The 25,024-nt window shown below is 37.2% G+C and overlaps 1 protein-coding gene across 57 annotated transcripts in view; it reads left to right on the top strand.

Annotated features, from left to right (window-relative positions):
- The window catches only part of ABI3BP (ABI family member 3 binding protein), a 244,266-nt gene that overhangs the window by 116,776 nt on the left and 102,466 nt on the right, over positions 1 to 25,024 (top strand). For 32 of the 57 annotated variants that reach the window (XM_011512643.3, XM_011512647.3, XM_047447923.1 and 29 more), the window contains exons 7-15: positions 86 to 134; positions 1,067 to 1,138; positions 1,713 to 1,805; positions 9,690 to 9,767; positions 11,739 to 11,813; positions 12,570 to 12,644; positions 13,737 to 13,808; positions 14,261 to 14,335; positions 24,706 to 24,771. In XM_011512643.3, the coding sequence (XP_011510945.1) occupies positions 86 to 134; positions 1,067 to 1,138; positions 1,713 to 1,805; positions 9,690 to 9,767; positions 11,739 to 11,813; positions 12,570 to 12,644; positions 13,737 to 13,808; positions 14,261 to 14,335; positions 24,706 to 24,771 (655 nt within the window). The remainder of the gene's footprint in view (positions 1 to 85; positions 135 to 1,066; positions 1,139 to 1,712; positions 1,806 to 9,689; positions 9,768 to 11,738; positions 11,814 to 12,569; positions 12,645 to 13,736; positions 13,809 to 14,260; positions 14,336 to 24,705; positions 24,772 to 25,024) is intronic. The other 25 variants (XM_047447926.1, XM_047447922.1, XM_024453445.2 and 22 more) reach the window with 7 other exon arrangements.

Raw genomic sequence — 25,024 nt, 5'->3', positions numbered from 1 at the left:
GGCTACTTCCAGTTCTCCGAACGTTTTAAAGAACAGAAAGTTATTCACAATGACTCAAAAGTTGACTTTCTTCTTCTCTTTGCAGCCAGCATATGTCCCAAGGAAACTAATCCCAATAACAATCATCAAGCAAGGTAATTTGTCTGCTCTGGAAATGTGTTTAGAGCAATCTTTAACATACTTTTAGCTAAGGTAATCAAACACGGCACATATTTTCTCGATTTTTTAATTGATTTTTTTTTTGAGAAAAAGTTCAAAGAAAATATAATGGTCTAGTAAACTGGAAGTTAATGGATAATTTTGGCTCTTTTACCAATACACCAAGCTTTGGGCTGGTCACACTGGTCAGACAACTAAGGACAAAGCAACCATCACAAGTATTAAATTTTTTAAAACAAGTTAAATATGTGGAGCTTTGCCCAAGATTAAGTTGTCATACCCGAAGAAACCCACTGATTTAGTGGTCACTTTAAGGAAAGTAAAGATATCCAGGTTTCCAGAATTATAATGTCACTTCACGTCAGTATCTGACTGTTTTTGTTTTGGCTTCTGGTTTTTCAAATTATTAAAATCTATTATTTCCAGAAAGTTTCTTGGTAGAAGAGACAGGGCCCTTAAAAAAATAGTTCTTCATTTTCAGAAAACACAACATCCCAAGTGTATTCTCAAAACAGAATCAGTTAGTGTTGATATTACTCAAAGGCTCTTTGAGAAAATAAATTTTCTAAATTTTTATTGCTGGGTCATCACCTCATTTTGTGCTAGTACTGATTGATTTGGGGAAAAGGAAAGCTTCAGGGAATAGAGTTAGGAAGAAAATTTTCCAGTAATTAGAATGGAACACCTTATGATAGAATAATAGCCTTTCATTAGTTAAGGGCATAGGTGTTAAGGTAAGGTATGCCTTCCAATCCTTCTGTTGGCTATATAGCCAGGCCACTGAGTTGCTTTGTATTAATTAATAAAGTTAGATCAAGGCTTTTCCAGTGCAGATGGCTTCACATTATTAGCTTCTTACTGCCTCCTATTTCCCACCCCCTCACACTGTCTTTTTGTATTTCAACAGTGATTCAGAATGTTACTCACAAGGATTCAGCTAAATCCCCAGAAAAAGCTCCACTGGGAGGAGTGATACTAGGTGAGTGGATCTCGAAATCTATGCCGAGATTAAGCAAATCGGGCTATCTTTTGAGGATAGGGCTTTTCTGGAGTTTTGCAGTGTGAGTAGTTCTGTTTAATTGATGTGGTTCACTTCCTTTCACTGTTTAGCATCCTGGCTCGTGTCCATTCCAGGCTAGGAGCCAAGCCACGCTATCTTTATCATGGTGTGTTAAAGAAATAGCTCTAGCACATGTGCAGTGGGAATGATGGCACCTGTCCTACCTGCCCCACAGAGTTGACTGAACTGCTTTTTTAAAAATCATTGTTATTGATAATAATCTTTGTTCACCACACATCTTAAGCAGCCATTATACAATTTTTGAGTCTGTGGATTAAAAGCCAGAGGATTTTAGAAGTTTGGTTAAATATGAAAAATATTCTATTTAGAATGTATGGTTATATTTTTTCCAATGTTTTAAAGTTTGGGTTAAAATTTACTAAGCAAAATAAGTGCTATGCTTCATAGTTTGTAATATCTGATGTGCTGAGCTTCATTTTATGTCATGATGCACTTTCTTCCCCTTATCTTATTTACATCTATTTCCTTGCAGTCCACCTTATTATTCCAGGTCTTAATGAAACTACTGTAAAACTTCCTGCATCCCTAATGTTTGAGATTTCAGATGCACTCAAGACACAATTAGGTAAGCAGAAAAGTTTTGTATTTGAACTTTGCAGTAACTGAGTACTAGCACTGATATTCTTAGGAAATCCAAAGAATCTTGCTAATGAGCTGTTTGAGGATCTCAAAGTAAAAAAGTAGAGGCAAAGAGGTTGGAGTGTTGGAGGTATTCATTATAAATAACATTCTATAAGAAAATGGTTATTTTATATGTACATATTTATATAAGGTATATTTATATGTATGAAATGAGAGTGAATGTTTATGAAAATCTTCAAAATACATATGTATAACTTTCTAATAAAGTAATTCTAAATTATACTTACTATACTATTATGGGGCGACTAGGTATTTGCAATGAGAATTGATGTGAAGGTCAGGTTCATTAGAATTATTATTTACTTGAGATTGATATTGCTTCCTATTTCTAGAACTGGTTATGTGTTCAGTGTTTAAAAAACATAAAACATAAGAGTAAAAGAAAAAAACGGAAAATCCACTTAAAAAAGGGCCAGGGAATAAATGTGGAGGTCACTGGGCTGAGTTGGTTGCTGCATTTAAGTATCAAATTAGGCTCCAAATTGTATCTTAGCAGAGAATCTCAAGCTTGATCAAACATCAGGAGCACCTGGAGGGCTTAACACAAAGACTGCTGCCCACCACCCCCCACCACCAACCCACCTCCCGAATTACTGATTCAGTAGGTCCGGTATGGGGCCTGAGAATTTGCATTTCTGACAAGTTTCCAGGTGATAGTGACACTGCTGGTCTAGGAACCACACTTTGAGAACTACCCCTCCAATGTCTCTAGAGAATACCTTGGGCTGTTAATAAATTTGGAAGAAATGGTGCTGTAGAAATTGAACAAACCTTAAGAATACAGAATGTATTCCCTGAGCTAGGCACTGGCTGTGAACTTTAATGTTTAATATATGATTGAATCAGCACATTGTATGGATAAAGAAACGGAGGCCCAAGCCCCTGTTTGGCCACAGTCATTCAACAAATACTATGCATTACCCTATGTCAAAACCGCAAGTTGCTGGGGGCTATGATGGTGAGTTACCCAGGCATGGCACCTGCTCATTCTGGGACCTCAGACAAGGCCCTTACTTTCTCCTCCCCTACTGGGGGCCTTATCTGTCTGCTTCAGTTGATATTTCCTCTTTTTTGGCTGAGAGAGAGGCAGAAGAAATGATAAATAAGATATAACCCAAATATTTTTTATTTCAAGAAAACACCGTGAAACATAACAATAGGCTGGGGTCCTAGGTGGGCAGACCCTCTGGTCAGGTCAGGGCTTGCTGTGATCTCTCTGTTATCAAGAGCATGCATCCACTGGGAACAAACCCTTGATGTTCCTGACAAGTAGCTGCTGGTACAGTGCGGATCCCACAAGCCAATAACTCTTTTCCTTTTTCCCCCTTTCCCTCCCTGCCCTGGAGACTTACTGGGGGAAAAAAGACATCAAATCTAATGAGGTACCAAATGTTGATGTCTTTTTCTTGTTTCCAATTTTCTTCTTTAGGGAATAGGGCCATGTAGAGATGTTTAGAAGTTTTGTCCACATAATGTCAAGCTACTTAATTTTTTAAAAAAACCTGAAAAGAAATTGCTATCTCTTCATGTGTTTTTCAAATATCCAGACACTTAACTTTGCATAAATAGTGTTACCTGAAAGTTTAAGTTAACTTTTTTCATTTTTTGCTTGACTGATCTGGGGCAATCCAGTTATAAGAATTTTAAAAGGCAAGCTCTTAAGTTCTCGTTAGGTGCTGATTTTGAGAAACTCCTGGAAGAAGGAAGAGGAAGGCCTTAAGTTGGTAGAAAAGCACTTAACTGGGGACTATTAGACTTACAATTTTTGAAAATTTTCCAAAACGTATGGTTCAACATCTTAGTAAGGTGTGAAAATATTTGCCAATATATCTTTGTGGTTTTGTGCAATCCTTATATTTTTACTTTAAAATAGTCATATCTAGTAGTCCTAGAGTTAGTTACTTCCCAGAAAATAGTCAAGTGACTCTGGACTTCATTTTCTTAATTTGTGCATCAGACTTGGTCACCTCCCTTTAACTATAAAACCCTGTTATCCAACCCTACATCATGTAAATGTGATGCTGCCAGGATGCTCCCAAATTAAGATCCCTCAGTGGATCTGTGTTTGGAAGAGTTAAAGCTCTGGACTCTTACATTAACCTGTTCTCTGCCCAGAGACTGTATACTTTGCCCCATGCCTAGAACTTGTTTGGAAGGAGGAAAAAAAGGAGCTGGCCAATCTCATTGATTTGGTCCCTAATGTTACCATCAAAACTGCAGAAAGCAGTGTTTGTGAAGGGGACTGAAAATGAGCAGAGTTGTTTCTCAGACCACGGCTGTCAGTTTTAAACTGGAAGATGTCATGGTCTGGTCCTCAGTGCTTAGTCTTGAGTGATATTTCCTAATCTTTAAAAAAAAATTTAAAAATTCTACATGCTACCATAATACCAATTTAGCATTTTTGCTTTCTTTAAGGAATTAAAGTGGATTTTTGTCTTGTGATTCGTTTTTACTTTTGTTCTTCTGATATGATTCACTAAAAGTCCAGAATTAAGTGTTATTTTAATAAAGAAAAAATAAATGCAAATAGTAAAATGCAAATAATTAAAACTATGAAAATAGTAAGTATGTTTTTAAACTTGGCTTTTGAGGGAAGTGCCTATCTTAAATTGAATACATGGGCAAGATGGGGTGGTTCATGCCTGTAACCCCAGCACTTTGGGAGGCTGAAGCCAGGGAATCGTTTGAGACTAGCAATGCAAGACTAGCGTAGGCAATATAGCAAGACCCCATCTTTACAAAAAATATTAAAATAAAAAAATAGCCAGGCATGATGGTACATGCCTGTAGTCCTAACTACTCAGAAGGCTGAGGCAGGAGGTTCACTGAAACCCATGAGTTTGAGGTTTCAGTGAGCTCTGACTGCACCACTGTACTACAGCCTGGGCAACAGAGCAAGACCTGGTCTCTTAAAGTATGATGCTAATAATAAAAGAACACATAGAAAATTTAACACATGGAGAATTTCTTACACACTGTATTAGTCCATTTTCACACTGCTGGTAAAGATATACCCGAGACTGGACAATTTACAAAGAAAGAGGTTTAATTGGACTTATAGTTCCACATGGCTGGGGAAGCCTCACATTCGTGATGGAAGGCAAGGAGGAGCAAGTCATATCTTACATGGATGGCAGCAGGCAAAAAGAGAGCTCTTGTGCAGGCAAAGTCCCATTTTTAAAGCCATCAGATCTTATGAGTCTTATTCACTATCACGAGAATAGCATGGGAAAGACCTGCCCTGATGATTCAATCACCTCCCACCAGGCCCCTCCCGCAACATGTGGGAATTCAAGATGAGATTTGTGGGGACACAGCCAAACCATATCACACACTGAAGAGACTGATAGCCAGTATGTTTGAAAATGTCTGATAAATCAAAGGAAAATCCTACCCAACAAATGTACCAACTTAGTAGACCATGTTTCTTTAAAAACTACATATACAATTTTTTAAAATTTTTTATTGTATATGCTTCAAGCATCCAAGATGAAGTTTTTTTTATATGTGTACCTAGTGAAATAGTTAACTATATTCAAGCAAATTAACATCCATTCTCTTGCATAGTTACCCTTTGTGTGTGCATGTGGTAAGAGTACCAAAAATCTTAACACTTTTCCAATATACAATATTATAATTATAGTTCTTGTTTTCTACTTTAGATTTCTAGTCTTATTCATCCTATGCATCTGCAACTTTTTACCCTCTGTTCTACATTTCCCTGTTTCCCCCTCTCCATCCCATCCCTCATAAAGTTTTATTCTCTATATATGTGACTTTTTTTAGATTCCACATATGAGTGAAATCATGCAGTGTTTTTCTTTCTGTGCTTGGCTTATATCATTTAGCATAATATCCTCCAGATTTATCCATGTTATTGCAAATGGCAGGACCTCCTTTTTTAAGGCTGAATAATACTCCAGTGTGTGTGTACCATAATTTCTTTATACATTCATCAATGAACATTTAAGTCGTTTCCATATCTTGGTTGTTGTGAACAATGCTGGAGTGAATGTGGGACTGTATGTATCTCTATGAGGTGCTGATTTCATTTCCTTTGGACGTATGTCCAGAAGAGGGATTGCTGGGTCATAAGGTAGTTCTATTTTTAATTTTTTGAGGAAACTCCATACCATTTTCTATAATAGCTGCACCAATTTACATTTCCACCTCAACAATAAACAAGAATTTCCTTTTCTCCACACCCTTGCCAACACCTATTTTTTATCGTTTTGCTTAATATCCATCCTAACAGAAGTGAGGTGATATCTCAGTGTGGTCTTAATTTTGCATTTCCCTGATGATCAGTGACGTTGAGCACTTTTTTTTTTATACCTGTTAGCCATTTTTATGTCTTCTTTGGAGAAATGTCTATTCAGGTCCTTTGCCCATGTTTTAATTAGGTTATTTGGGGTTGAGGGTGGTTGTGTTATTTTGTTTCGCTATTTTGTGTAAGTTCCTTATATACTTTGGATCTTAACCCTTTATCAGATACATGTGGTTTGCAAATATTTTCTCTCAATGCATAGGCTGCCTTTTCATTTTGTTTATTGCTTCCTTTGCTGCACAGAAGCACTGTTTTTTGCAAAGTGTGGGCATAAACAGTCCTTTATGCCATGAAGGGAGAAATAAACTGCGCTGAAGTTAATTATCACTGCAACTCAAAAAAGCTACATTTTTTGAGGTAGTAAATCCTAAAAACAACATCCTCATTCCAGCAGAGCTCATAACGGGGCATCAAGAAGTATAATAGCTTGTTCTAAGAACACATGGTGTGAATAATGAGAGATATAAACAAAAAAGTTAGGATTACACACACATCCCCAAGGGACATACAAAGGGTTTGCCAAAGTCAAGACTTGGCCTGCCAAAAATTAAAGGAAACAACTGTGATGGAAAAATGTACAGAAGAAATAGAGGAAAAGGAATTTCCTGGGTTTTAGGCTGTGTTCTGATTGCATTTTACTTTCCTATTGCCAAGATTGCAGTTGTGCATAGATAGTGTGGGTGAATGCTCAGGGGTTGATATATCAAGAGTTCCCCATTCAAATACCCTCCCCAACTACTAAGTTCTCTGATGTCTGAAATATCATTTATAGATATACAGTATGGCCTGGTGCAGTGGCTCCCACTTGTAATCCAAGTACTTTGGGAGGCTGAGGCAGGAGGATCACTTGAGCTTAGGAGTTCAAGACCAGCCTGGCAACATAGTGAGATCCCGTTTTTGCAAAATAATATTAGTAATAAGCTAGGTGCTGTGGCACGTGCTTATAGTCCCAGCTACTACTAGGGAGGCAGAAGCAGGAGAATTGTTTCACTTGAGCCCAGGAGTTTGAAGTTTGAGGCTGCAGTGAACTATTATCATGTCACTGTATCCAGCCTGGGCAACAGAGTGAGACCCTGACTCAAAAAAAAAAAAAAAAAAAAAAAAAACCAAAAAGAAGAAGAAAAAACAATATGCCTGTAAAATGAGTTAGTAATATAGAAAGAATATAAATGTCTCTGTCTCTTAGGAAGGGGTAGTTTGCCTTTCTTCATTAACAGCCTGATTTTAGGCTAATGTGATTGCCAGCTAAGAACATGTTTTGAATAAAGAAATTGAGAGCATCGCCTGTGAAAGTCTAGGATCTGGACGATTAAACAAATAAATAATAAGAGGTCCTAGGTCAGCCAGGGACTCACTGAGAACATGGGATATTCTTAATCAGGAAGGAGCCCTGGAAGGAGAAGAGAACACTGAAAGAGAAGAGATCGTGAAAGGAAACCTTATAATTTTACATTTAAAAAAACTTCCTGTGGGGCATGTTGAAAATAATAGGAACAGAGTGCTTGAAAAATTCATGATCTGAATTTTTTTCTGTGTTGACAATCAGAATGGTTCACACAAAAGATGTCAGAAAAAAAACTGATAAAATTTAGACGTTTTAAAAATAGAATTTCATAAAATTATGCTAGATTTTTAAAAAGTTCCTTTTTATGCCCTGCTAAATTAATTTGAACAATGCTATTAAATATTTTGTTGTGTGAACATGCTTTGCAACTTCAGAAACACACAATTTGTTGCAAATTATCATTTATGACACTTAGTGGTGGCATTTTAAATAATTCCTGAAAATTAGCTATCTAGAAATCTGTTGTATGCCTTTATCAAGTAGGGATTGAAAACTGATTTGCTGCTATAAACGTCGTGAAAGATGACTTTCTAATTGTCTTCAAGCTCATCAGAATTAAGTAAATATTTTTGAACCCACATTAACAGAAAAGAAGATGGTCTTTACAAAAATAAAGTGAACTACAGATTATAAAATACATGTTCAAAGAATTTTGAGTGTGAAAATTAAAGTTTTCAACAGGGAGCAATTTTGTCCCTTAGGGAATATCTAGAATTGCCTGGAGATATTTTGGTTGTTAGAAAAGTATCTGTGGAGCACAAAATATTCCAAAAGTGTGTGAGAGCACTATTGGAATCCAATGGGTAGAAGCCAAGAATACTCTTCAACATCCTACAGTATACAGGCCAGCCACCCATACAAAAAAATAATCTAGCCTCAAATATCAATAGTGCCAAAGTTGGGAAATCTAAGTTCTGTATAGCCTTAGGACTCTGAAAAATCCTGTCCGATTATGTGATCAGCTCAAGGTGGCATGATCAGGGTATCCCAAAGGGGCATGAATTCTTTCATGCCACTAGACTGTTTCAAAATATTATGAGCAGGTAATATTATGATTCAACACAGAAAATAACTGAATAGAATTAATCCTAATTATACCCTTTCAAATGGGGAATACCATAATCGCTGGGGAACACTGGCTTAGAAATGTTACTTTCTTTGAAAAAGAACATCTACATTTTAAAATGAAGTTTCTCAAATAGTTGCATAAAGAGGAAAAATGGAAAAAATTATTCTTTGTACTGAATTCCCACAGAGATTAAAAGAGAAGATCTACATTAATATGAGGCTCAAATAAAATTTACTGTTAAATTTTTTGCCACAAATATTTTCAAATAGCTTAGTTTCCTATGTGTGGTGTTTGTGGTTTTCTAAAATCTCAATGTCATAACTTATTACATTTTTTACCATGTAGAATAACGGAAATTTTCTTTTTTTTTTTTTTTTTTTTTGAGACGGGGTCTCGCTCTGTCACCCAGGCTGGAGTGCAATGGCGTGATCTCGGCTCACTGCAAGCTCCACCTCCCGGGTTCACGCCATTCTCCTGCCTCAGCCTCCAGAGTAGCTGGGACTACAGGGGCCCGCCACCACACCCGGCTAATTTTTTGTATATTTAGTAGAGACAGGGTTTCACCGTGTTAGTCAGGATGGTCTCAATCTCCTGACCTCGTGATCCACCCGCCTCTGCCTCCCAAAGTGCTGGGATTACAAGCATGAGCCACCACGCCCGGCCGGAAATTTTCTATAGGTTGATTTTTTAAAATTGGCAGTACTTGAATATAAAATTCCAGGAAGCATTTGCAATACAACCTATGCCTTCCAGAAATTCTATTTATCAATCAGATGACTTTGAGATGTATCCAAGTATTGGGTTGTGATTTTTTTTCTTCATTTCAATGCCAATTTAGATCTTAAAGAATTACCTAGGGTTAATAAGAAAGAATTATGTAGGGTTAATAAGAAAGAATTTTGAAGACTTATATTAGTTCCTGCTAGAGATACACAATAAAGTTGTTGACTGGCTGGTGGGGAAGGAGTGTGAGATTAGATTTTTAGTCTGCTACTTGATTATGCATTGAGGGAGGTATTTTTGGACACTGCAAGTGAGATAAATTGTTTGTTCTCTGACTTTTTAGCTAAGAATGAAACCTTGGCATTACCTGCCGAATCTAAAACACCAGAGGTTGAAAAAATCTCAGCACGACCCACAACAGGTAATGAGATCGCTATGTTGTTGACCTTGAGAAAAGAAAAAATGCTTTTTTTCAAATACTAATCTGCAGTCTTTTTTTCAGTAAAGAGCCAGTAGGAAATACATTTTGATCATAAATGCAAAACAGTAGGAGATTCTAGGTCTCTAACGTTTGGGAAAACAATAGCTGCAAAATGGAGTATTGAATCACATAACTGATATGTAATACAGAAGCTGTATTTTTTACTCTAAATGAAAATTATTAGTTCAACACTGAAATATTTTTATATTAAAAACATCATACCACAAGTTTGGTGCTGTTCTTTCATATGATGACATTAGACCATTTTTCATTTCTACACTTTTACAAGTGGTCAGTGTAGCAAAATGCCATATATTCTTCACAAATCCATAGCTTAATATCTATGAAAATACCCTGGAATCATTTAGAAACAAATGTCTCTGGAACTTTAGCAATCCTAGTGTAGAGAATATAGAATAGTTCAGTAACAATCCTTCAAAGAATTAATGCAGTAAGCATTTTCTCCATAGTTTGTCACCATTACTAACAAACATTCAGCATCTCTTCTATTAATGAACTACTCAAGTCCAGTCCAGGGGGGAGGCATTAATCTTTGAGCTAGAGTTTTTGCCAGAGTAGTACCACCTTATCCAGGACCTGATGAAACAGACATCTGGCAAGAATTTCCCACAATCTATATTTAGCAGAGTCACTCCAATCTGTAGTGAATTTTTTAGTCCACAAAATCCTATAACTTGAAATATTGATGATGTACCTTTTACTAAACTTCTGGACTCGTAACTGGTCCAGAGAAGATAAAAGTTGTTGTGGCAGTAAAATAACTTCAAGAAATCCATTCAAGTAGGAATATGTCTGAGAGAGCAAGGTGAATATGGTCCTTTTCCAAAGAAAAGAGATGAACCTTTCATCCCCACCTTCATGGGAGTTGGAGCAGAGGTATAGCTACTGGAGTGACCCATTTGGATGAAATTCCTAGATGGTTTTTGACTTCCGTATACGTGATCAATATCCAGAAAAGCATAGGCATGGCTCTATAGGGACTCCAAATCCCTTTCTCCCTCAAAGATTCTACCCACTTTCCCCAATTATACTTTTTTCTCTTGGCAGCATTTCTGATGGGAGAGTCTACATGTTTTTAGTCCTCTGCCAAACCCTCCTCAGAGTTTTCCACTTCAGAAACACTTAGGAAAACACCACAACTTATTACTCAGGGTTATTGTGTTTATTTTGTGTTCTTGCCCTGCAACATTCCGGGGCTTTCTGGCTCTCAATTCATTTCAGATCCCAGTGATCTTAGTTCTTATTTCTCCAAAACTGTTGACTGGCTGGTGGGGAAGGAGTGTGAGCTTTTTAATTGAGCTTTTTATTACCTTTAATCTAGCATTTGGGACAAATCTGTGGCTGAGCATTTAAATTCTGATCATAATTTCAATTCATTTTCAAGCTTTGCATATTCATTGCAGTGTAAGAGAGAAGTCTTATAATGTGGTAGCTCTAAGTAAGACTTTTAGCCCAGAGTCATCCTTTCATTTGCCCATTTATTCGTTTAATAAACTATTATCTTGATTATCCTTCAGATTCTTCAATAAATGATTTAAAAAGTAATAAACTATAATCATGTGCTTGTTTACTCTATCCCAGGTATTGTGCTAAGCCCTGGTGATAAAGAAAAAGGCAGATTTAAAATTATTATTAAGCTTATAAGTGTTTCAATGAAAGTCAGGTCAGAGTGCTCTTTTGGATAGAAAGCAAACCCAGAAAGGACCAGTTGGAGAGGAGTGTCAGCTCAGGCACTTGAGACAAGCCAAGGAGCTCTTTACATAGTAACACAAAAAGAAATGGGCTATACAAATATCAGCCACTAATTCTAAAAGGCAACAGGATGTGTCTCCTGGTCTTTGGTTGCTTCACTTTATCTTAATTTGTAAAGTTGTGCTTTTTACCTTTCAGTGACTCCTGAAACAGTTCCAAGAAGCACTAAACCCACTACGTCTAGTGCATTAGATGTTTCAGAAACAACACTGGGTAATTCTAAGAACTTTTTTTTTTTCTAAAAAAACAAAAGTAACAACGAAATAACTCCCAGGACTCACAGAAAAGAAACCTGGTGCCTTAACTTCTCTCTCCCTCCCCACTTTCTCCTTTTCCTTCCTTCCTGGCAGTGGTTAACCTTCCTCTTTCTTGGACAGATTCCACTGAAGAGTTAACCACATGGCTGATCCTGGTGACTGAACTTCTGGGCAAATCTGGATGCTAATTGCTAACTAAATGCCCTTTTTAACCAGTCTCTGGGTTATACAGACAGAATACCAGCCTTTTAACTCCCAAATCTTGGGGGAGAATGAAGGAAACCTGGAAGTCTTGACTCTGTGCTTTCTGCTTAGAGTGGCTTTGGGAAGTCTTGTGCATACTAAATTTGGGAAGAATCCCCAAAAGTGTCATGCTTTTAAACAAGAATTTCATGGCACCCATGTTTGTTGTTTCTTAGCCCAAGAGAATCTAACTTGCTTTGTTGTTCTCTTTCCCCTGAAGAAAAGGAGCAGCATGTGTTTTGTTCTGTAATTTGATGTTGATCTTCTCAGCCACACCACTGCCCTTTGAATGTACACCTTCATATTTTAACAGCTATGTAACTTTTCCAGGGAAGGTTATTTCCATTAAAGGTATTGGCTGCTCTGTGTGCAAGAGTCTGTTACAAAGCTTGCTGTGCATGATCATGGTTAAGCCACAACATCAAAACCCAAGTCCAGGAGTTGCTAACTGCACTCTTTTTTATTGTAGTTCTCAGCAAAAGGACCCCGGAAACATTGCAAACTATTCTAATACCTCAGTTTGAATTGCCACTGAGCACTCTAGGTAAAAAATAATAAATACTGCAGCTTTATTATTACCTTGGATATTGTATGCATGCTTCAAAGAAGTCTTTTGAATTAATTACGCTAATTTATACCCAATCCCTTAAAGGTGACACAGTCTTCAAGTTTAGGATCCCAAAGAGGCTCTCCCTATGACAAATTGTTTGGTTGGGTTGTTTTTCTTTTAAGTGGTCATATTTTAATATTATGTTTGATTCTTTTAATTCAGAATCAATATGTCACTGAACAAATTGATCATTTCTGTATTTTTTGTAAATGTGTTTACTCTATTGTCTCTCTTAACAGAGAAGATATATTTATGATATTTCTGCAGACTGCTTCTTATAATTCTTAGAATTCTTCTGAGTGAAGTATGAGAAAAATGAGGGCAGGGTGCAGCGGCTCATGCCTGTAAGCCCAACACTTTGGGAGGCTGAGGCAGGTGGATTGCCTGAGGTCAGTAGTTCAAGACCACCCTGGCCAACCTGGTGAAACCCCGTCTCTATTAAAAATACAAAAATTAGACTGGCATGGTGGCATGCGCCTGTAATCCCAGCTACCCAGGAGGCTGAGACAGGAGAATCGCTTGAACCCAGGAGGTGGAGGTTGCAGTGAGCCAAGATCGTGCCACGCACTGCAACCTGGGTGACAGAGCGAGACTCCATCTCAAAAAAAAAAAAGAGGTTGGGGGAGGAGCTTACATATAAAGCCACGTAGTTACCAAAACTCTATTTTTAAAAGCTTTCAGATGGACATTTTCTAGTTCAGATGTGTTTGCTTGGTTTAAATTTAAATGAAATATATTTAAGAACACACATAAACATAGCTGAAGAAATCAGCAAACTGGTTTAATAAGGGTGGAAAGAAGAGTCCAAATACAGTAGCTTAAATTTAGTCACTTAACTATAAAAAACTGAAAAAGAAACTTTCTTATATTCAACATTGAAACATAGATGTAAGAAATACTACTAATGGTCTCTTAACATGATTTGCCTTTTTGTGTTTGCTTTTGTTTTTGCAAGCTTAAAATTTTAAAAATCTTTCCTGTTACTTTCACCTCAGGTCGTAACTTTCTTTATGTGTTTCATTACAGCTCCAAAAAGCCTTCCAGAATTTCCTGAGGCAAAAACACCCTTCCCTTTTGAGAAACCTAGGGGCACATTGGGTAATAAGAGTACCTTAAATTTAATATTAAGGCTGTGGGTGGTGATTGCTTAATTCTGCAGGACACATTTACTGCATCTTATTTCTGGAAACCTCATGAACTGATAGTTAGGCAAACAAATGGTTGATTTGATTTTTTTTTAATAAATCTATTTGGATTTTCTGCAAATTCGGTAAAACCCATCAGTCTTAATTCCACATAATCCACTTAGCTTTTTGTCCTTAAAAATGCTGACAGTCTGACACCAAACTCTGGTCTCTCTCTGACCACTAATCAAATGTTCTCTGGATGGATACATACTGATTTCTTACTGATATATAATGACTTTTTATTGTATTGGTATACTGCAGGCTTCTGGTAGCCACTTAACCATACCAGCAACCTATTTCTGTCTCGTTCTCCTGTTAAAAAAAAAAAAAATCTTCAGCAAATTCCATTTCTTTTCAATATAGCTTCAAGTGAAAAGCCATGGATTGTGCCTACAGCTAAAATATCTGAAGATTCCAAAGTTCTGCAGCCTCAAACTGGTAATTAAATCCTTTTCTTAAAAAAATCGATTATAACAAGGAATATTGAGTAACTTATTGTTTTTATAGGTTCCTTAATTGATTATCATTATGCTTTGTAATAAATGGAAAATCTATCATACATTTGTTGATACTGAGATGAACCTCATTTTCCCCATTACAAAAGCAAAATGGTTTTGAATGTTTTAAAGACACCTGTTCTAATTTCTGGATACTATAACATCTTAGAAATGTGGCCAGAACATGAACTATGAATTGGCTCATTGATAGAGATCTCTTTAGTGACAGGAAAACAGTACCAAAATAAGAAGCATCAGCATGGGTCTGATTTAACAGTATGAGTTTCACAGTCTCTTGCAGGGAATATTTGCTTCTTTTTGGCAAAATAATTAAATAAACATTTAAGAGCTTACTATGTGAAGATAGTATAGTAAGTTCTAAAATTTGTAAGTGTAGCATGATATGTAGGAGAGACCACAGGTCCTTGCGGTTGATAATAGACCTTGGTTCCAGGCCTCGCTCTCCTAGTAACCATGTGATGGCTACTTTCCTCTACTTTTGGAAGGTATTGGTTTCCTCTTTTGCAAACTGTAGCAATTGGCTTTTTTTTTTTTCCTGTGGAGAATTCTTGTGTTCCATCATTAAAATTGATTGAGATATGTTTCTTTTACAAAAAATATTTTTCTCAATTAAATTCTGTACATCTTTTGATTGCCTAGCAGTCAACTAAAGTGCGTATTCAGCATATGAGAATTATAAGAAGACCTCAGAAACCATCCTTTATGATTACTTCCATGATTTTTGTGTTTTGCTTATTTGTATTTTAATTTTTGTAAATCTTCTAGTTGTTTTGACTTTATTTGGGGTACATATCATATAGTGTATAATGAAGTTGGATGTTTCATGTAATGAACTTAAATGCAGCAGCATTTTGTGGTGTTCTCCAGAGTCCAGCAGAGGACTGGGTTTGAGAAAGGATGAGCATGAGCCCCCACAGATCTTGGTGAAATTATCCTTTCTCTAGTATATGTAATGGGCTCAGATATCTGCAAAAGATAGAAGATGACATCAAATTAAGGGAATATGTCTATTATAGTCACCCCTAGTTTCCTTAAGTGGGAACACACTTGAAAGTTGGCCATGCTTGTTCGCTTATCCAGAGAAGCCTCAAACTGTATCTAAGTCTTGGTTTCCCTAGTCACTGACTCTAAAATTCTAGTGCAATTAACTAAAGTGGGTGCAAAAACCCCTTTAGCAATCCAAGTCGCCTGGGTCTAAAATCTGGGTTCTGAGTTGAATTTCATACTGAGTGAGCCTCTGGGTTCAGTAGCCATCACCCAGGTGCAGCTGCATTGTAATTATGATGCAACAACTAGTCTAGGGGCATATGTGATGGTTTATCTGCTGCACCGTGACAGCCCTGGCTGTGACTCCCACATCCCTCAGGAGCACCTGAGCCAAGTGCCTTTGGGGATTTAGGGACTAGATAAACTTTTAGATCCCTTTCATCTTTTAGCTTTTCGGTTATAACATGGGGAACATGGGGTTCTTTTGGGTTTTCTTTAAGCAATATCCAGTGTTTGGTTTCTATGAATATTCAAGAGCAAACTAACCAAAACATCAAGGAAACCATTTTCGAGACTTTAATACCTGGCATATGAATTATATATGAAGGCTCGAGTTGAACCAAGCATTGGGGAGTGGGGAGAATATGTTGGGATGTAAAGGTTACAGAGTTACAATGAGACGAAAATAGATGATATCGGAAATGCCAATAAAGGAAAGGTTTCTTTTGCCTTTAATTCAAAAAAGGAATATTCTGGTTTTGCCCTGAAGGAGTATGAGCAGCGGCTAATGCAGAAGGAAACTGACTCTTTATTCAGCTGCTACACTACTGCCAGGGCAACCTTAGGTCGCCAGAGAACTTCCAACTGAGAACTCCCCACCCTCTCTAGACAAAGAATTGAGACTTGTCAAAAACTGTAATAACAGTACAGTATGTGATTGCACATATTAACATTAGCCATAGAAGCTTCCCATCCTGCCTTATAACAGTTAATTTTTATGTCTTTGCTACTTAGCATGATCCTCAGTCCAATAGCATTTGGCATCACCCGGGAACTTGTTGAAAAGGCAGAACTTGGGCTCCACTCTAGATCTATTGAAACAAGATCTGCTTTCCAACAAGATGCCCAGGCGATATGAACATTAAAGTTTTTGTTTTTGTTTTTGTTTTTTGAGATGGAGTTTGCTCTTGTCTCCCAGGCTGGAGTGCGATGGGTGCGATCTCGGCTCACTGCAACCTTTGCCTCCTGGGTTCAAGCGATTCTCCTGCCTCAGCCTCCTGAGTAGCTGAGACTACAGGCACCTGCCACCATGCCTGGCTAATTTTTGTATTGAACATTAAAGTTTGAGAAGCGCTACCTTATCGATGTAGTTTATAGTGTTTTTACATGGTACCAGTAAGAATCATCGGGTGTAGTTGGTTATAGCACCATAGGCCTCAAATCAATACAAGCTTGATTTTTCAAAGTGGGTAGTTAAGTATCTCTTGTTTCTGCTAGTGTGCAACGCTTCCATTTCTAGTGTAAGTGCTCTGTGGCATCTTCCTAACTTACGTTACATTTCAAATTAAAATTTAATAACAAATGTAGTATCTGTGATTTAAAGAGTGGTATATTTATGTAGCCCTTTTATTTCAGCCTTTGTTTTGATTTTGTGCAAATTTACATGTGTACTAATGTTCTATTTCCCATTTAGTTTCAACATACATAATAGGTATTTTATTTTCCAATTACTCACACAGCTTCCTAAAGCAACTATTTTGAGAACTGACAAAAGAGACAGGTAGAGATAGTGTTTAAATGGTGGTCCACAAAACCATGAATCCCATTTTTAGTTGCAGTATCTTTTAAAGAAACATAATATAGGTTGGTGCAAACGTAATTGCAGTTTTTGCCATTACTTTTAATGGCAAAAGCCACAATTACATTTGCACCAACCTAATATTTTTAACTGGTATTAATGACATTATTACAGCCAAATGAGCACATTCTGTTTTCTCTGTTGGGGTATGATGCATCTATATTTACTATATCAATTCCTTTCAGCCAACGACCAGCAGAACACACTTGTAGTTGAACAAATTTACATTCATTTACTTATTACAATGATGGAGAACACAGACCATGATAAACTGGGGGATCTCTTAGAAGATGATAGAAAAGACTTATTGTAAGAGTTTGTCTTGTGTTAAATGATTGAGGGAAGGGTCCAAGGCAGTAAAACTTTGCTCTGAATTGGATGCAGTCAGAAATTGGGAGTAATTCTGTGATTGAATGTCTTCATAATTAATTAGAAGGCAAGACCAGCAGAGGGAAGCTAAAGCTGTGACTGGTTGAGAAGCCACATCTACTCGTATCAGCCAGAAGGTGGGGAGGGTAATGTTTGTGCTCTGGGTGATGTTCATGTTTTTGTCTGTGTGCCACATAATTAGAGACTGGTCTTGTTTTTGTCTTGATCCATCATGATCAGAGAGTGGTCTTGTCTGATATTGGCATCCTTTGGAATTGTTGATGTTCAACAGGAGAACAAACACCACAGCCTACCTGTGGGTACTAGACCAGCTCCTGGATGCCTGGGGCTGCTTTTCTCTTTATCAGCCATTAAATGAGATTTATCGTACTTTTTGTAAAGTTTATTTTGCTTTACTATTTTCTGGATCTGTTTTCAACATATTCTGTATCAGCAAATCAGAATATGTGTACTCAAAAAGATTTCTGTACCATTCTTGGATATAAAAGACTCTATGAAAATTCTAACTTGCACACTGAATATTGAAATTCCTGGGTCATTTCAACAGTTTTTGGCAACCAGGGGACAGAATATTTGAAATTTGGAATATCCCAGGAAATCTGAGATGTGTAGTCATCAAATATATTCTTCCTGCATTCAGCCTATTTGTCCTGATCTGTCATTAGTGCTGCATTTTGTGATTTCATTATTTGGAATTGCATTTTGCATTAAACCTTCTATAAAGTATGTTGAAATGAAATTGATTGATTTTGATTCCCTTGGCAAATCTAACTTTCCTTAAAATATATAAAGGTAATCATGAAAACCTTCTCTATAATTATGTATCAGAATATAAAATTACCTATAAATTTTGTATCTAGAGGAAGTTGACCACACTTTAGAACTTAACTGCTTGTGACAATATTTCACAAAAAGTCAGTCTTTCTGATGATGCAATAAAATTGGTTCATGTTTTATTGTAAAGTAGCTAGTTAACTATAATCTCAGTGTTGTTAAGGAGCAAGCGCTAGAAAAGTTCTCAGTGTCTTCCATTCAGATGAATTGTGCATGTGCACGTATGTGCACCTGCTTGTTGGATCATTTCTCTACTGGAATACAATAATTTGTGTTTGCATAGCAATTTTCTTCTAGGAGATTCAAGGGGCTATTATATACCATCATATTGAGACTTCCAAAGTCCCTAGAAACTGGCAGAATTATTGTCTTTTATCTTAAAGTGATACAAGAGGAACTTAACTCCAAATGGGTTAGAGGGGGGAAAAATTAGGCTCATTCATTTCTTTCCTAATATATTATTCAATAAACCACTCCAAGTTAAAAGTAAAGCAATGACATATAGCTTGCTCTGAAAATTTGAGAACAGCCTTTACAACTGAGGAAATTAAATGTTATTACTGGGGCCATGTGCCTTCCAGATATGGTGTATAAGAAACATCACATGATCTGTGAGAGGCCAGCCAGTCCCTGAAGCTTATTCTCGTTGTGAATGTGATCACAAATCTGTGAGATCTAAGGTGGGATAGAGCTAGGTTAATAGCCAGCTCAACTACCAGTTAAATAACTTGTTCCATCTATAAAATGGAAATAAGGTATAAATTTTTCACCAGGTGGTTACGTCTTAGAAATAATGTATAAATTACTTAATATAATGCACAATATATAAAGGGGTGCCTTGTTTTCATTTCCTTAATACAATGAAATCTTGCATTGGCTGCCACCCCTTCACATCATACTGTTTATCCCAACTTCCTGAATTGCTACATATAATCAATAATAGCAATTATGCTTTTAAATTACTTAATAAAACATGAGGAGGAGAGAAGAAAAAACTCTAAGCTCATTTTATATGTATACAATCATACCAAATGATCTATGGGTCTTCATTTCACTTGTAAAAAAAAGTTTGAGAATGGAAAAGACATGCAGTATTACTCAGAGGTTGTGCTGCCCCCTGGGAATAGCCTAATGTCCTATTACCCCTACAGCAAGGATGGTAAATCATATCACATAGTCTCTCTCTTCAGTTACGGTGGCAGCAAGAATCACTCTATAAACTGGGCTCTGAGGTCCTTCTTGGATCAATGAGTAAAATAATGCCACTATCAACTTGCTGTGTTTTCTGTGGGCACCAGGGAAGGAGAAGCAGCATAAATGCCATGTATTTATCATCCCACAGATGGGTGTGTGCACGACTTCTAAAGACTTAATATGGGTTGGGAGGTTATGTGGAAATGAGCTTTTTGTTTCTAGTTTGATAATGCCATAAGTGTTAAGCCTCCTTAATTTACTTAATTGTAACCTTAAAAGACCATCATTGAGTACCAGGAGAGTTTCAAAAGCAAATAAAGACAATGCTTGCAAACCCATTAATTTGAAGTGTTTGTTTTCATCCTTAGGAAATCCTCCTGCCTGTTCTTCTCCCAAGTGTCCAGAAAAACCAAATGTTGCTCCAACTTTACTGTTACTTGTTACTAAGCTGCTACTTATTCTGGTATAATTTCCTCTTGAATCATATACAGTTATCTTGTAGAGACTTCCCTTGACAGAGAGAACCAAGCATGGTCAGCTTCAGTTTTTCCATTAGATTTTTCTTTGGGAGCTTCCTTTAGGAGGTCATCACTAATTATTTTCAGTGTTAAATTCTTACAGTACTTTGTAGAAGTAGAGTAAATTGCATCTGTATTGAGTCCTATATATCATTTCAAGGCTTGAAAGCTGCAGTCATCAGTATGCCCAAGGAGTAGTAGATTGGTTAGAAAGTTTTGGCAGCAGGTGGTTTGCTAAGAGTGGTTGAAAAGAAGTAAACATATAAGGACATGCTCATTTATTATCTGTCTGCCCTGTAAGGTGTTGATTAGCACAGATCTGGCCCACCCAACTGGATTGAGTTCAAAAGAGGAGAAAACGAAGGAGTAGGTTGTGGTGTTGATGCTTTGAGAGTAGGAAAACAGATTTCAGGTATAGCAGATGTTTTGTAGATTCACTGTGGCTTTGAAGAGATTTATATCTTCAGCCTTTAATTTTATTTCATGAACATTTTAATGAATATTTTCTTGCAGGCAATATTTTCACAAATTTCCAGGCCAACTAGAAAGGTATTTTGTTTTTCCACTCACTGAAGAAAGCATTATCAATGTATTTAAGTGGTACTGTGAACTCTGTGTGTGGTATTGTTTTTCTCCTCTAGCTACTTGCTGTATTTTTCTCATTGCTCCTTCATATATTTTTTTTAGAATTCCATTTCCATGACAGGGTATGTCTACACAAGTGTATGCCAGGTATTTGTGTAGTAGAGGAAGAGATTTGTGTGTACACACGTGCACATCATAACATAATTAAAAGACATGTTTTCATTTATTCTCCAAACTAAGCCAGAAAGTTATCCTTACTAAGAGCTTAAGCTACCCAACCATCAAACTCACTGTTACTGTTTATTGTAATGGACATCTTGCAGATTAATTCTGCTGAGTATCCACCATGTACCAGTTTCTGGATTAAGTAAGTCGTGATAAGCATAATGAGCATGATAGACACAATTTCTCCATTAATGAGGTCTTTTGTCTAAGAGTTAATGTTAAAAAGGAAGTTTTCACATAGTTACTAATATTCAAAGGATTTGAATAAGATAAAGTCTTGATCATATGCAATGGTTTGCCTGTATGCCATCACATGTTTCCACAGCAGTATCAGGGCATTTTTATTGGGGGCTTTGCATCTAGTCAGTTTTTCAAAGTAAAACTAAAATGTACTATCAACAAAACATAATTTAGGGCTGGACACAGTGGCTTGTGCCTGTAATCCCAGCACTTTGGGAGGCCGAGGTGGGCGGATCACAAGGTCAGGAGTTTGAAGCCAGCCTGGCCAACATGATGAAACCCTGTCTCTACTAAAAATACAAAAAATTAGCCAGGTGTGGTGGCACATGTCTGTAATCCCAGCTACTCAGGAGGCTGAGGCAGGAGAATCACTTGAACCTGGGAGGCGGAGGTTGCAGTGAGCTGAGATCGTGCCATTTCACTCCAGTCTGGGCGACAGAGCAAGATTCCATCTGGAGAAAAAAAAAAACATGATTTAACAAAGTAGTTTTAAGAAGGTGTAGAGCAAATGGTAATGCAAGTTATTTCATATTATTTTTTCCTCTGGAAAATCTGAAAGTAAAACTTAGTTATGACTGTAAGTCATTACTATTTTTTGAAATAATCTAATGTTGACTTTTATAACCTGTAAATTGAATTATCTATTTTATTTGTTGCATTCGATTTAACCTACAACTTTTGGTCCCATGTATGTTCTGTGAATGCAAAATCAGTAATACTGCTTAATGTCTTATAGCTGTAGCATTTCACCCACTACAATAAGCATAGTGATAGAAGTTTGCCTCTAAGTAATAATATATGATAATTTACAGGCTACCATACAGAAGGGTTCACCCTTAACTCTTGGCTACTTATCAATTTTATAGCTAGTGTAGCTTTTAGAAACCAGGCCTAACAATTTCATGAATTTTTCTCAGGTATAGGCATGTATATAGAAGGGTTTTATAAAGAAATCAAGAGCTGTTGATTGTTAGGGAGCTTTTCAAAGAACTCTATTTCAACACTGTCCTCTCCCCCGACATCTCTTTTTGTTGTTGTTGTTGTTGTTATGGAGTTGCTGTCGTGCAGGCTAGAGTGCAGTGGCGAGATCTCGGCTCACTGCAGGCTCTGCCTCCCAGTTTCAAGAGATTCTCGTGCCTCCCGAGTAGCTGGGACCACAGGTGCCCGCCATCCCAGGCCTGGATAATTTTTGTATTTTTTTTTTTTTTTTTAGTAGAGACAGGGCTTCACTCTCCTGGCCAGGCTGGTCTCGAACTCCTAACCTCAAGGGATTTACCCGCCTCGGCCTCCCAAAGTGTTTGGATTACAGACATGAGCCACCACGCCCAGGCAATCTCTTTACTTCTGAATCAAAAGATCTTGTTTAACTCATAAATGAAATGAGGTGTGGTGTGCTGCTTAAAGCTGACCAAACAACATAAAACTTTTAGTGGCATATGTGGCTTTTTAGCACTCTTTTTATTTCCAACTCATGGAAACTACAGAAATAGAAATATTAAAAACAAAGTATGCTGGCAAATGTCTTATTTTTGTCTTAAGTATATTTGATAAAATGTTTGGAAGTTAAGGGATCCCTGAAAATTGGGAACTTCCAGATTTGAGCCACAGTTGCCAAAGGATGATGGAAGAAAGGCTTCTTTCCCCAGCGAATGCCTTATGGGAATAACGAGGGGAGATGGATGCCTGGCTTGGAGCCTCCTGATTGAAAAGAAATTGTAAATATGAAAAATAGGTAAAAAGAGTGAATAAATATCATCTTTTGGAACTAAATACAGACTATAGGAAAATTGGTCCAATGTCACTAAATGGAAGGGAGCTTTAGGAGTTAGGATAACAAAGACAGTCATGACATTTTTCAAAAGCAACAATAGAAATAAAAAGCCATTAACTCATAGTTTCTTACCTAGTGTGAGAGGATTAAATACAAGTTGGCAAAGTTTTTCTTATTTTGTAGGAGATAGAGCTGACCATGCCAGATCCATGACTTGAAATTGGCTGAAAATAAGCTTAAGATCAGAAATTGCGGGCACTTTTGATTAATCTTTTAAAAAATTAGTCATTCTTATCTGACCTTTTAAAATGACAGCAAGGCTAAAGGAAACTTGACATTACAATATAATAGATGCATTCTCAGAATGTGTGCATATCTTTAACTCACAATATTCTTGCTATTTTTGAGGATTTTGTGAAATAGTAGATTCACCTTCACACATTGCAATGTATTTCCTGCCTCTTTAGTATGTAGTACAATATAAAATGCTGTCTACTTTCAGAGGATGTCACATGGTCTGATACTATCTTTCTTACAGCTTCAACCAGCACTGGCTCAAAAGCATTAAACTGTCATTGAATTACAAGTAACCCCAATGACTACGTCTTCCTGTGAGCTCCTTTCTTCTTGATTTCTGTGCTGCCATTTTGAATGGACAAGAAAAGCAACATCTACCTCGTAATAATTCATGTGTTCTCTATATCCCTCGTGACCACAGTGACAGCTGTTTGTACAGGAAAGAGAACACTTTGTGATGCTGTTTTTGCTTGCAGGTTCAACTCTTATGTGAACATGAAAATTATCCCCATATTAAAATAAGTCAATCTTTATATTTAAGCTCATACTACTTTCCTTTGTACAGAATAGAAAATTTATCTTTAAACCTGCCCAAACTCGAGAAAGGCTCATGGCTGTATGGAGAAGCACAGAAAGCTGCCTCTAGGTAACATGTCAGGAGGGGAAGGTGCCAAAAGAGAATCCTGGTTTTAGCCCTGCTGTTTCTGGTCCTGCTGAAGGAAAGGAAAATACACTGGATGGGACAATTTCAGTGTGTGACCACTGGCAGATGTGTTCATGCTATAAACCACAACTTGGTTATCTAAAAAATGGAGATAACCTCCTATTGTCTACAAAGTGGGGCTACTGCCTACCTCACCTATTTCTCAGGGATGTTAAAAGGGTTCAATAAGTTGATGTATGAGTAAGTCTCTGCAAACTGTGAAGTGCTGTCCATACATAAGATATTGTAACAGTAACTTTTACTAAGCAGAAAGACTGAGCAATAGACTTTGGGCAAATTGCCTCAATGGGACTGCTGTTTTCCTTCTTTGAAAATCTCTCCCCAAACTGCCATCTGACTTTATTTATGTTTATACTCTTTGCAGCTCTTTGATTTACAGCTGGCACTGCATGATTATAAATATATAGCACTATGTTCTCATCACCCTGGAGGCCAGCATCAGGGCTCACTATATAAAATCCTGCGGTTCAGAGCAAAAAAGGACCAAAGGCGAGTTTCGGTGCTTAGATGTTAGTGACAAGGCTGGCAGCCTGGAGCCAAAATGTACCAGTACCTACATAAAACTGTCCTTCAACCAGCATTACAACATGTCATGTAATCTTTCTAAATTAATCAAATTTAACCAAAATTAACATCTCTCTTGTTTTGCCTTTTTTTTTTTTTTAAGCAACTTATGATGTTTTCTCAAGCCCTACAACATCAGATGAGCCTGAGATATCAGATTCCTACACAGGTATATCTGGCCTCTCAATTCTGTCTTTGGATCCCAGGTGTTCCAACACTTGGTGGTTCTTCCTTTAGTTTTTGCAGAGTGGAAAATTGTATCCTCTGGAGCTCTGCATGGGAGAAATTTCTACCTGTGTCAGGGAGTTGTGTTTTACCCACTCCTCCCATAGAGTGATTAGTTCTTTACATCTCTCAGTAAATAAGCTCTGTCACATAAGGGAGATGCAGATAGATTTGGTTGCCACTGAGGAAAAGTAATG

Source organism: Homo sapiens, chromosome 3, assembly GCF_000001405.40.
Source record: "Homo sapiens chromosome 3, GRCh38.p14 Primary Assembly".
In the NCBI taxonomy this organism is placed as follows: domain Eukaryota; kingdom Metazoa; phylum Chordata; class Mammalia; order Primates; family Hominidae; genus Homo; species Homo sapiens.
This window is presented reverse-complemented; position numbering and strand designations above follow the sequence as displayed.